The 13,735-nt window shown below is 42.3% G+C and overlaps 1 protein-coding gene and 1 pseudogene across 1 annotated transcript in view; both read right to left on the reverse strand.

Annotated features, from left to right (window-relative positions):
- UBE2G1 (ubiquitin conjugating enzyme E2 G1) overlaps positions 1 to 13,735 on the reverse strand; it is a 97,417-nt gene that overhangs the window by 3,268 nt on the left and 80,414 nt on the right. Inside the window, exon 5 of the mRNA NM_003342.5 lies at positions 10,272 to 10,395. Coding sequence (NP_003333.1) covers positions 10,309 to 10,395 — 87 coding nt within the window. The 3' untranslated portion in view covers positions 10,272 to 10,308. The remainder of the gene's footprint in view (positions 1 to 10,271; positions 10,396 to 13,735) is intronic.
- LOC124904156 (uncharacterized) lies at positions 9,243 to 9,318 on the reverse strand (annotated as a pseudogene).

Consider the following 13,735-nt stretch of genomic DNA (forward strand, 5'->3'; position numbering starts at 1 on the left):
AAAAACAACATTATATAGTCAATTCATCAATTACAAAAGAATTAACTGTAAGTAGGTTTTATCCATATTAGATTTATTTGACAACAAATCCTTAATTTCATTCTGAGCTCACTTTGTTTCTATCTATTATGGTAGCTCACAGCCACGTGGGTATATTTAATTTTAAATGTAAATTAATTGCCATTAAGTACAATTTACAATTTAGTTCCTGAGTCATGCTAAGCACATTTCACGTGCTCAGTAGTCACATGTGGCTAGTGACTGGCAAGCTGAACAGCACAGCTGTATCCTTATCATCACAGAACGTTCTACTGGACAGCGCTAATTTAGATTTTTCAATACTTCAAATGTCTTTCAACTTATATTAAATCTAGAATCCATAAGAGAAGATTTAAAAGCCAAGTGATTTGGAAATTTACAAACATTTGAGGATGTTCAGAGAAACAACTTAAGATTGCCACACTTCCCAACTTGCTAAATTCTATCTAACTCACTATAGCTCCCTTCAAACCCATTTTCTCCACAAAGCCTGCCACAAATGACCCTCCATCCCAACCACAGTTTCTAAGTGTTTCAAATCTGTTGGCCTCGTATCATCCAGTTAGACTGTAAGTCAAGAACACATCTACATAAAAAGCAGCACCGCCTCATCGAGTTCTGATGTGCCAAGCAGCATGCTAAGCGCTTTACAAACTCATTTCCTGAATGCTCACAATCATCATTATGAAGGAGTCTCCCCTCTAAAGCTGAGACAAGTTCACATAGCCAATAAATGGCTGAGTTTCCTGTTCAAAAAGTTAGAAAAACACTAGGTTGAAGTTTTTGTTTGTTATTTATTTGAGACAGGGTCCCACTCTGTCCCTCATGCTGGAGTGTAGTGGCATGAACATGGCTCACTGCAGCCTCTGGGCTCAAGTGATCTTCACACCTCAGCCTCCCAAGCAGCTGGGACCACAGGCACACACCACCATGCCCAGATAATTTTTAATTTTTTTTTGTAGAAACAGGGTCCTCACCACGTCACCCAGGCTGGTCTTGAACTACAGGCTCAAGCAACGCTGCCACCTCGGCCTCCCAAAGTGTTGGGATTACAGGCATGTGCTACTGCACCCAGTGGTTAAAGCTTTAAAAGTCTCATTTGACTATTAGACTTTTCAGAGTCTTTATTATATTAATATGTGCTTTGAAAGGGGGGTGGGTGGGGGCGCCAAGGACAGCAGAAAAGGAAACACCTATTAGGACTGCATCTTTAGGTCAAGTGTTCCAAAGAACTCAGAAACTCTGAATCCATTGCCATGCACAATTTTGGGCAAAAGAAACAGAAGATGACTAAGAAATCAAGGGATATAATTTTAAATTCCTCACAGAGAAGCCAAATATACCTAAAGAGTTATGACAAATTTTAACTCACACCAGACATGTTCAAAATTCAGCATGCCTTCTAAAGCCCAATATGAACTTACCAATTTTTTTTTTTGAGACGGAGTCTTGCTCTGTCACCCAGGCTGCAGTGGCGCGATCTCGGCTCACTGCAAGCTCCGCCTCCCTGGTTCACGCCATTCTCCTGCCTCAGCCTCCCGAGTAGCTGGATCTACAGGCACCCGCCACCACACCCGGCTAATTTATTGTATTTTTAGTACAGATGGGGTTTCATCCTGTTAGCCAGGATGGTCTTTTTTTTTTTTTTTTGAGACAGAGTCTTGCTCTGTCGCCCAGGCTGGAGTGCAGTGGCGCGATCTCGGCTCACTGCAAGCTCCACCTCCCGGGTTCGCGCCATTCTCCTGCCTCAGCCTCCCGAGTAGCTGGGAATACAGGCGCCTGCCACCATGCCCGGCTAATTTTTTGTATTTTTAGTAGAGACGGGGTTTCACTGTGTTAGCCAGGATGGTCTCGATCTTCTGACCTCGTGATCTGCCTACCTCGGCCTCCCAAAGTGCTGGGATTAGAGGCGTGAGCCACCACGCCTGGCCAAATTGATCTATCTTACAATCACTCAAATGCAACCATACCAAAAGCTCTGTTGTGGGGAGAAAGAAAGCCATTTAGACAACCTCCCTACAAGATCCTGAGAGGTAGAACGACTGCTATATGTCTTTCCAAAAGACATGTACCAATCAATGTAAATGGCCCTTAGCAAAGCATGAAATGTACTAAGTAACAAATATATCACCTTCACCAGATACACGTATGCACATACATATTTTTATTAGAAAATCAAAAGACATACACTGAAACCCAAGAGATGGCCAGGCACAGTGGCTCCTGCCTGTAGTCCCAGCACTTTGGGAGGCCAAGGTGGGAAGATTGTTAGACACCAGGAGTTCGAGACCAGCCTGGGCAACAGGAGACCCTTGTCTGTACAATAAATAATATAATTAGCCAGCCACGGTGGCACATGCCTGTGGGAGGACAACTTGAAGCTAGGAGTTCAAGGCTGCAGTGAGACATGAGTGTACCACTGCACTGAAGCCTGAGTGACAGTAAGAGTGAGACCTTGTCTCAAAAAAGGAACAGAACAGGGCAGGGGAGGACGCCACTGCACTCCAGCCTAGGCAACAGAGCAAGACTCCCGTCTTAAAAAAAAACAACACTAAAATCAGGCGACCTAGCCTTTTAATAGCAAAGATCCAGTTTTAAACAGCATTACCCTTTTCAGCAGAGGAAAAAGAAAATCTATCCCTCTTCCCTTTTAATAAAAGTTATACTAAATTCTAAATAGAGACAAGGCCTCAGTACAGAAAAGGCAGGTTTTGTCATTCTTTTCTCCAGAAAGATAAATGTGAAACTGAATTAACCAGCACAACACTGCAAATAAATGGTGCTGACTTGCAACAGTCATTTACATTTTAAGCATATCCATTTCGCAGAATTTATGTTTCAATATTAATTGAAATTATATCAATTGCACCTGTCATTTGCCTCATATCTTCTCAGAATTATGCCTGCTTTTTAACCTAAAAATCTGGAGATGGTTTACCTCCAAAGAACTTGAGTGTCTTATTCCATTTATTAATATTTCTAAAACTAGAGTCGTCTTTAATTTTCCATATGGCTACAAAACCTAATCTTTTAAAAAGATCTAAAAAAATATAAAACAGACCAATGTGCTCCCAAATAGAAGCCACTTTTTGATGTTAATGACAAAAATAAAAGTAATTCTTCAATCATAGGGAAGTATTTCAATGATCTTAAGTGTTTCAATGATCTTGTAAGTGAAAACAGCCAATACCAATTAAGTTTTCCCCATTACCCTTCACAAAAAAATGCTTCCAAAAGTTCCAAATCACCCTACACAGCCACCCAGTGTACTCCTGCTCCGTCACCAATCCGCTGACTTTTTCCCCCACACTGGGACCGTGCTGCTCGTCGTCTTCTACCATGAGATTGGTGAGTAGCTCTAACACCAACTTCCTTTCTGAGCTCTCTGTGAGAACTCACTCTCCTAACTCTCCTGCATGTTACCAAGCCAGTCTCTGTCTCTTCCTTCTGTACCCTAATTGTGCAGTCTCCAAGTTGTCCTTGCCCTGGTAAGTACTGCTCTCTACACCAAACAGATCTTCATCTCTACTCTGGAGACTTGCAATGTCACCAGCAGCCCTACTTCTAACCTCTATCCTAACCACCTCAAATTGAGTCATGGTCTGCTTCTACTCCCACTGAAGCCCCCCCGCCCTTTTTTTTGGAGACAGAGTTACCCTCTGTCGCCCAGGCTGGAGTGCAGTGGTGCAATCTCCGCCTCCCAGGTTGAAGTGATTCTCCTGCCTCAGCCTCCCGAGTAGCTGGGATTACAGTCGCACACCACCGTACTGGCTAATTTTTTTTTTTGTATTTTTAGTAGGAAGCGGTTTTGCCATGTTGGTCTCAAACTCCCACCCACCGATCTTCGCCTCCCAAAGTGCTGGGATTACAGGCGTGAGCCACTGCCCCTGGCCTCCACTGAAGTTTTTAATGTGGTTTAACCTTACTTTGTTTTATGCTTGGTCTACCTGGCTAGGCAAACAGTCTTTACAGGTCAGTATAGTGTATCTATCGCATTCTATGTGTTCCTTCTTTCCCCAAGAGGACAGTGCCTTTGCAAATGTGTTAGAAATAACTATAGATTCATGCCCCACATCTGCAACTAAGTAAGGCAGGCAGGCAGCCTTCTACCTTACTGTGCTGAGTTACGCAATCCGTAGTACTTATTCTGGGTCAAGTTCCCTAGGAAACGGATTCTGAGGCAGAGATTTGAGGTTTGTCAGGAGGTGCTCTCAAAAACAAGAGTGAGGGATGCAAGCTTAGACAAAGGGAGAAGATGAACTAACTCAAGGCAGTTGAAACAAAGGCCTCAGTCAATACTATGTTAGAATGACCTTCCCGAGAATTCCCAAACAAGACAAAAGAGCCAGTTGACCAAGCCTTTGTACCAACCCAACTCCACCCGTCTAATCCACTAGTCACTGAATGCAGGTAAGCACCAGCGATTCCTACAGGGGAACTCAGCTGTGCTTTACAGCAGACAAGGTTCCCGAAGCTTGGGAATGACTGCCTCCCTCAAGGCAGTCTACCCACACCTGGCTCACCCTCTCTCACTTGCTGCCTCTGATGAAGCCAACTGCCATGTTGTGAATTGACTTATGGAGAGGTCTTCAGTAGACAGAACTGAGGGAGAACTCCAGCCAACAGGCAGTGAGGAGGAACTCAGTCGTGCCTGGAACCAGATGCACCCCAGTTGAGTCAACACCTTGACCACAGCCTTATGAGAGACCCGGAGTCAACCAAGCCACACCCAGATCCCATGGCCATGGAAATCATGAGATAATAAATGTTGTTTCAAGCCACTAAGTTTTAGTAATTTGTTACGTAGCAATAAAGAACCAATACAGTCCCTCTAGCCTTGGTGCAGAACGGAGTCCTCCTGTCCAGTGGTACACAAAGTAGCCATGGTTCTCATCTGTGGCAAGGGGAGAATTTGTTTCCTTTTCCTCTCTATTCTTCCTACCCCACAGCTGAATTAGAACATAAGGGTACTAATAATCTCTATATAGGACAAGGTATAAACACTAACAAAATGTGAGATAAAGCCTGGGCCAAGTGGCACCCACAGTAATCCGTGCATTTTGAGAAAATATGTGTGGGTCATGGACTTGAATGTAGATAAATATGTATTTTCAAATAATCTTAAATTGATTTCACTTTCAGTTCAGCCCAGACAGACAATACATTTTTCAAGTGTTTATAGTGAGTTTTCGTTCACGTCTATGTCCTATCACATGACTGAAAACACAAAAAATACTCAGAAAGTGCATGGTGATAAAGCCGTGAGAAAAGCCAGCCTTCAAGAAGAGACAGGTGAGGCTGCTGACTATTCAGTCTACAAAGCCGGCCTTGGGGAAACAGGTATCTTTTACATTTTTTTTTTTTTGTTTGAGATGGAGTCTCACTCTCTTGGCTCACTGCCTCTGCCTCCTGCAGCCTCTGCCTCCGGGATTCAAGTGATTCTCCTGCGTCAGCCTCCCAAGTAGCTGGAATTACAGGCGCCTACCACTACGCCCAGCTACTTTTTGTATTTTTAGTGGAGACGGGGTTTCACCATGTTGGCCAGGCTGGTCTTGAACTCCTGACCTCAAGTGATCCACCCATCTTGGCCTCCCAAAGTGCTGGGCTTACATGCATGCGCCACCGCGCCCGGCCTAAGGAAACAGGTTTCCATGGTATAAAGCCTTAATACAAAAAAATTGTGTAATGGCAATGACATTTAAAAATTAGGTGCACATCTCAATAAAAAGAAGACTGACTCATTTATTTAAGCATTTGATTGTCTACAGCAGGGGTGCCCAGTCTTTTGGCTTCTCTGAACCACACTGGAAGACAAATTGTCTTGGGCCACACAAAATACACTAACACTAACCACAGCTGATGAACTTAAAAAAGAAAAAATAAAAAAAAATCTTGATGTTTTACGAAATTCTACCAATTTGTGTTGGGCTGCATTCAAAGCTGTCCTGGGATACATGTGGCCCGCAGGCTGCAGGCTGGACAAGCTAGCATACTATACTCTGAATATCAGACAGATGAGTGAAATATAGACCCATTGTTAGAACACATTAGTGATTTTGGTGTGATGTATATTTAATTCAATTTTTAAATGATTACACTTTTAGTTCAACTAATGATTGGTTTAGGTACTTACTGAGGCATTTACTTCCTAAGCAGATTTTTAAAAGATGGTGAAAATAGGAATAATTTTTAGACTGCATGGTATATCTGGTAGTAAAGGGGAGCACTTCTGGTTATAATAAGGAGATCTGAAAGCACATCTAAATTTTTTCTAGAAACCAGAGATATCAAACATGAAAACAGGATAAATGGTGGACAGACTTTAGCTTTACTTCGGACTTAAACCTTTGCATTTGATACATTTAATCACAAAAATAAATTAAAATTAAGATAAACAAGCCAACCATTGAAAAATACAAAAGCCCATGGCCAGCCACAGTGGCTCATGCCTGTCATCCCAGCACTGTGAGAGGCCAAGGCAGGTGGATCACTTGAGGTCAGGAGTTCGAGGCCAGCCTGACCAACATGGTGAAATCCCATCTCTACTAAAAAATACAAAATAAGCCAGGAGTGGTGGCACACACCTGTAATCCCAGCTACTTGGGAGGCTGAGGCAGGATAATTGCTTGAACCTGGGAGGCGGAGGTTGCAGTGAGCTGAGATCACGCCATTGCACTCCAGCCTGGGCAATGAGAGTGAAACTCCATCTCAAAAAAAAAAAAAAAAATGCCCAAAACAGATCAACACGTACTGGCTGATGTGTTGGAAATCTGATTGTAGAACATAACAGGCACTGTGTACCAGTGGTGAAAGCAAGGACTTGTCAATAAATGGTACAGTCAACAGTTACACATCAGGGGAAAGTGGGGTGAGTGAAGTTCAACCTCTACCTCATACCATACACAAAAATCAATTTCAATGGATTCAACACAAATATGAAAAGCGAAACAAAACAGATTTTTGGTGGTTAAAAAAGAACAGGCTCTCTAGCCAAGAAACGAAAAGTAAAATCCATAAAGGAAAAGACTAATCAATTCACCTGCATTAAAATTAAGAACCTCAGGCCAGGTGCGGTGGCTCATGCCCGTAATCCCAGCACTCTGGGACGCTGAGGCACTAGAACTGCTTGAACCCAGGAGACGGAGATTGCAGTGAGCCGAGATTGCACCACTGCAATCCAGCCCGAGCGACACAGCGAAACTCTGCCCCCAAAAAAAAGTTATATATATATATATATATATATATATATATATATATATATATATATGAACCTCAGTTTGTCCAAAGGATACCACAAAGAAAATAAAAGGACAAGTACACAAATCAACAAACTGAAAAAGTAATCTAAAAACCTGAACACGCAATTCACAGAGAAAACCTCAATGGTCAAACACATGAAACGATATGCAATTTCACTGGTAACTAGGGCAATTCATATTAAGTCCACAATATCCAGATTTAGATAGATAGACTTTTTTTTTTTTTTTTGAGATGAAGTCTCACTCTGTAGCCCAGGCTAGAGTGCAGTGGCGTGATCTCGGCTCATCGCAGCCTCCGCCTCCTGGGTTCAAGTGATTCTCCTGCCTCAGCTTCCAGAGTAGCTAGGATTACAGGTGTGCACCACTGCACATGGCTAATTTTTTGTATATCTGGTAGAGACGAGGTTTCACCATGTTGGCCAGGCTGGTCTTGAACTCCCATCATCAGGTAATCCACCTGCCTCAGCTCCCACAAGTGCTAGGATTACAAGTGTGAGCCGCGGCACCTGGGCTTTTTTTTTTTTTTTTTTTTTTTTTTTTGAGATGGAGTCTCGCTCTGTTGCCCAGGCTGGAGTGCAATGATGCAATCTCAGCTCACTGCAACCTCCGCCTCCTGGGTTCAAGTGATTCTCCCATCTCAGCCTCCTGAGTAGCTGGGACTATAGGAGTGCACCACTACACCTTGGTAATTTTTATATTTTTTGGTAGAGATGGGGTTTCAGCCACATGGACCAGGCTGGTCTTGTAAGTGATCTGCCCATCTCAACCTCCCAAAATGCTGGGTTACAGGCATGAGCCACCATGCCCGGCTGGGAATCTTTTTTTTTTTTGGAACGGAGTTTTGTTCTTGTTGCACAGGCTGGAGTGCAGTGGTGTGATCTCGGCTCACCGCAACCTCCGCCTCCCGGGTTCAAGCGATTCTCCTGCCTCAGCCTCCTAACTGGGACAACAGGCGCACGCCACTGTGCCTGGCTAATTTTTTATATTTTTAGTAGAGATGGGGTTTCACCATATTGGCCAGGCTGGTCTTGAACTCCTGACCTTGTGATCCACCCGCCTCGGCCTCCCAAAGTGCTGGGATTACAGGTGTGAGCCACCGCACCTGGCCACAAAGGGGATCTTTATCCTTGCCAATGGGACTATGAAAAGAAGGAACACTTTAGAAAACAATTTGGCATTATCTACTCAAAATGAAATACGCGTACCCTTGATTTAAGAATTCCACCCCAAGTATATACCCTAGAGAACCTCTTACAGTACATGCAAATCAGGAAACAAGGATAGCCACCCTCTATAACAGAAAAAGAACAAACACCCCTACACCAATTCAGAAAATAACTGCAATGAGAATAAGGAGTAGAGCGGTAATTTACCCAGTGTAATAGCACACAGGTGAAATGTACCTATTTGCAACACAGATCAATTTGAAGAATATTGAGCAATAAAAGTAACAGAAGAATGCATTCATTATCATTCCACATATAAACAGTTCAAAATCATGAAATACATTGTTTAAACATGCAAATTTGGTAAAATTATGAAGAAAAGCAATAGTAAACCCAGAGTTAGGAATATGAGAAAGGGACAGAAGAAAGCAGCGGAGTGTAGGGGACAGAAGATAATGGTAATGTTCATTTTCTTAAAATAGGTAGACTCAAGATGTGCCATGGATTGTGATTTTTCAGACAGTGTATTTCGGTTTCTCCCTCAACCCCCACAAATCAATAGGTCTTTTATTGAGTAATTTAAATATCACGAATAGGTCTTACGAATCATCTGGCATCTTGTTTCTGTAGCTGGACAACTCTTAGACTTTATTCACCAACTTGCAGAACTATTCCGTTTTCAGAGACATAGATATTCAATAACAATTTTCTGCTATGTTTTTAACTGTTGCAGCTTGCTGAATCAAAGCAGCTGAATTTGAAACCAGCTCAATGTTGTATCCTTTGGTGCTCTACACCTTCAGAAAACTTCTATAGTAACAAACTATAGAAATGATCCCTGAAAGGATAGTCTTCACTTCAGTTTCTATCATTTCAATATTTAATTTTAAAAGAAGAGACCAAATAACCCACATGTGAGCAATTAATCTATATTATTTCCTCTTCTAAGGTGGATGGGTGCCTTCCATCTTTGACTCCTTTCTAGACCTAACATAAAACTGTGGACAGATGTTATACAATAAAAGGGAAGTTTTTAACTACTGGCCCTATCTGTAAAGACCAAGGAGATAGAAGACCAACTTTTTGTTTGTTTGTTTTTTGTTTTTTTCTGAGATAGAGTCTTGCTCTGTTGTCCAGGCTGTAGTGCCACGGTGCAATCTTGGCTCACTGCAACCTCCGTCTCCCAGGTTCAAGCGATTCTCCTCCCTCAACCTCCTGAGTAGCTGGGATTACAGGCACACGCCACCAGGCCTGGCTAATTTTTGTATTTTTAGTAGAGGGGAGGTTTCACCATGTTGTCCAGGCTAGTCTCAAACCCCTGATCTCAGGTGTTCCACCCGCCTCGGCTTCCCAAAGTGCTGGGATTACAGGCATGAGCCACCACGCCTGGCCAGAAGACCAACCTTAAAGGAATAGGTAGATGACTAATAGTCTTGCCTATACCCTACATAATACAGTATATGAAGATACATTAGTGCCCAAGTGATCAGGATGCTAGATCAAAAAGTCAAACAAAGAAACTAAACTGAAATAACAACCTTATCATTAGAAACTTTACCATCAGTGAAAAGAAACAGACCAGCATACTAACCATATGAATGCAGAATATCTAGTCAAAAACAGCTGGGTGTCTTAGGAGAAAAGCAAGCAGATTATACAGTAGTTTTGAGAACGAGACTACAGGATAATACCATTAAAAAATGAAGTCAATGAAAAAATGTAATTCAAATACCCAAATCACACAATTTCCAAAAACTAATAGGATACTTACAAAAAAACAAAAGTATGATATTTAAAATAAACTTACCCTGAAATAAGTGAAGTTACTAGCTGCTAAATAAATGTCACTCAAAAGCAGTCTCTTGGCTTTTTCTTACACAGCGGGCAACTTTTCTTTTAAATTCTCCATTTCTATCTTCCCTCCATTCTTTCTGTAGATTAAAAAAGCAGTATCAAGTGATTTCATGCAAACTCCCCTTTATAATCTCAAATATTTATTTTAATTTTGAATGTAATCCCTTGGTGATTTGTACACTTCAGAAACATTATAGAGTTGAAAAGGTAGAAAGCAGTTAGACATACTTTTTCAAGACACTACCAGGATATACAGGCAGAAATCTCCTATGCAAATTACCTCTACATTAAAAATTATCTTTAAAAAAGAAAAAGGTCACAAAAGAACATTTACAGTTTTGTATTACACTGAAATAGAAAGCTAAAATATACCAATAAGACATTCAGGCCAGGGGCCGTGGCGCACGTCCATAATCCCAGCAAGCTGGGAGGCCGAGGTGGGCGGATCACGAGGTCGGGAGTTTGAGACCAGCCTGACCAATATGGTGAGAATAAAAGTACAAAAATTAGCCAGGCGTGGTGGCACATGCCTGTAATCCCAGCTACTCAGGAGGCTGAGGCAGGAAAATCGCTTGAACTGGGGAAGTGGAGCTTGCTGTGACCTGAGATGGTGCCACTGCACTGCAGCCTGGACGACAGAGCGAGACTCCATCTCAAAAAAAGACATTCAGTTGGTAATCTGAAGGATTACCAACTCTCCCTATTGGAAACAACCAGAAAATAAACATAAAAGTGTCTGCAACATAAGGTAGATAGGTGGGATGCATCATATTGAGATGATACTAAGTACCATTTCTACTGTAGAGGAAAATATATGACAATTATCACTGTCACTGCCTGACATACAAAAATGGAACAGAACAGTGGGGTAATGAAGGGAGGGGAGGGAAAGGGAAGAGCAGGAGAGAGAGGAGTTGGAGGAGAGAGGAAACAAAGGGAAAAGGGTCTATTAAACAGAGGCCTAGAGAAGCTAAAATTTGGAAATGGCAAATCTGAGAAGAGCCTGAATAAAAAGTGGGGCTGAGGCCATGCACAGTGGCTCACGCCTATAATCTCAGCACTTTGGGAGGCCGAGGCAGGACCTCAGGATCACCTGAGGTCAGGACTTCAAGACCAGCCTGGCCAACATGATGAAACCCCATCTCAACTAAAAGATACAAAAATTAGCTGGACGTGGTGGTGCATGCCTGTAGTCCCAGCTACTTGGGAAGCTGAGGTGGGAGAATCGCTTGAACCTGAGAGGCAGACGTTGCAGTGAGGCAATATCGTGACACTGCACTCCAGCCTGAGCGACAGAGCGAGACTCCGTCTCTCAAAAAAAAAAAAAAAAGAGGGCCTGAAAATAGAGATTAATTGAAAGTCTGTATACTCAACATTTTCCCTCACCTATATCCAAAATTTTAACTTTCCCAAAATAATAATATATAAACTTTATATAAATATACTGAAGAATACTATAATTAGAACCGCTAGGCTGGGTGTGGTGGCTCACATCTGTAATCTCAGCACTTTGGGAGGCAGAGGCAGGTGGATCACCTGAGGTCAAGAGTTTAAGACCAGACTGGCCAACATGGTGAAACCCCATCTCTACTAAAAATACAAAAAATTTAGCCAGGCATGGTGGCACGTGCCTATAATCCCTGTTACTCAGGAGGCTGAGGTGAGAGAATCACTTGAACTCGGGAGGCAAAGGTTGCAGTGAGCCGAGATCATGCCACTGCATTCCAGCCTGGGCGACAGAGCGAGAATCTGTCTCAAAAAAAAAACAAAAAATAAATAAAAGAACTGCTAGTGTGGGTATTGGTGCCAAAAACAATTACTCCTTCATTTTGGAATTTAAAAGACACCTCTTCCTCCAACCCTTACCCTTACCTTCAGTTTAGTAGCTTTGTCATCCAAATAGCCATATAGCTTTGAGTGACATAAATACCATTTGTTTTTTTCCCCCCGAGACTGTCATTTCTTTTTCTTTTTCTTTTCTTTTCTTTTCTTTCTTTTTTTTTTTTTTTTTTTTTTTGGAGATAGGGTCTCACTCTGTTGCCTGGGCTGAAGTGCAGTGGTGATCATAGCTCACTGCAGGCTTGAACACCTGGGCTCATGCAATCAATCCCCCACCTCAGCCTCCGAAGCGTCTAGGACAACATGTGCACATCACCACACCCAGCTGATTTTTGTATTTTTTGTAGATGGGGTTTTACCATGTCGCCTAGGCTGGTCTCAAACTCCTAGCCTTAAGTAACTCACCTGCCTCGGCCTCCCAAAGTGCTGGGATTACAGGCGTAAGCCACCATGCCCAGCCTCAAAATAATTTAAAACGAAAATTTCCCAGGGCTGGTATCTTTAAAATTAAAGCAAATTTTAATTTGGCAAATCAAAAAGAGTTCACACAACTCTGTGAAATTTCCAAAGACCAATCATAAAGAAAAGAACCTAAGTACAATGGGGAAAAAAAGAAAAGGAAAAAAGAACAAGTCACCTAAAAATGGAAAAGAATCAGCCTAGTACCAATTTTCACATCAGCAATAAGAAATAGTAAAATATAAATTCTATATAAATTTGATTTTCTCCCTATAATATTAGAAACAAAGTATCAATCAAGTATAAGGGAAAAATAAAAGCACCTTACATCATAAATAGACTAAGGATTTAATTGCCACATACCCTAAAACATTACTCTAGGATGAAGGAAGAAATCAACCAAGAAGAAAAAGAAGAAATGGGATCCATGAAACAAAAGATTCAATTGAGAAGAGCAGTGAAGGGGTAATCTGAGCAAATCAACTAAGCCCCAGGCTGAGAGAGTCAATCAAATCTGGGGCCAAAGCGGCCGGGCGAGGTGGCTCATGCCTGTAATCCCAGCACTTTGGGAGGCCGAGGCAGGCGGATCACGACATCAAGTAATCAAGACCATCCTGGCCAACATGGTGAAACCCCATCTCTACTAAAAATACAAAAAAATAGCTGGGCATGGTGGCACGCACCTGTAGTTCCAACTATTCAGGAGGCTGAGGCAGGAGGATCGCTTGAACTTGGGAGGTGGAGGTTGCAGTGAGCTGAGATTGCACCACTGCACTCCAGCCTGGCGACAGAGCGAGACTACATCTTTAAAAAAAAAAAAAAATTGGAGCCAAAGAAGAAAGGGACCCAGGAGAGAGGTGGCTAAGAAAAATGCGGGTTTCCTGGAATAGGTACTGCAGACTGAGAGGTCAGAAAATCAATACTATGAAAATATGATCAAAGGTGTAATATGAGAGAAGAAAAAGCAAGTAAGAATAGTAAACTGGGCCGGGTGGCTCACACCTGTAATCCCAACACTTTGGGAAGCCGAGGTGAGTGGATCACCTGAGGTCAGGAGTTTGAGACCAGCCTGGCCAACATGGCAAAACCCTGTCTCTACTAAAACTACAAAAATTAGCC

This window comes from Homo sapiens, chromosome 17, assembly GCF_000001405.40.
Source record: "Homo sapiens chromosome 17, GRCh38.p14 Primary Assembly".
Lineage (NCBI taxonomy): Eukaryota > Metazoa > Chordata > Mammalia > Primates > Hominidae > Homo > Homo sapiens.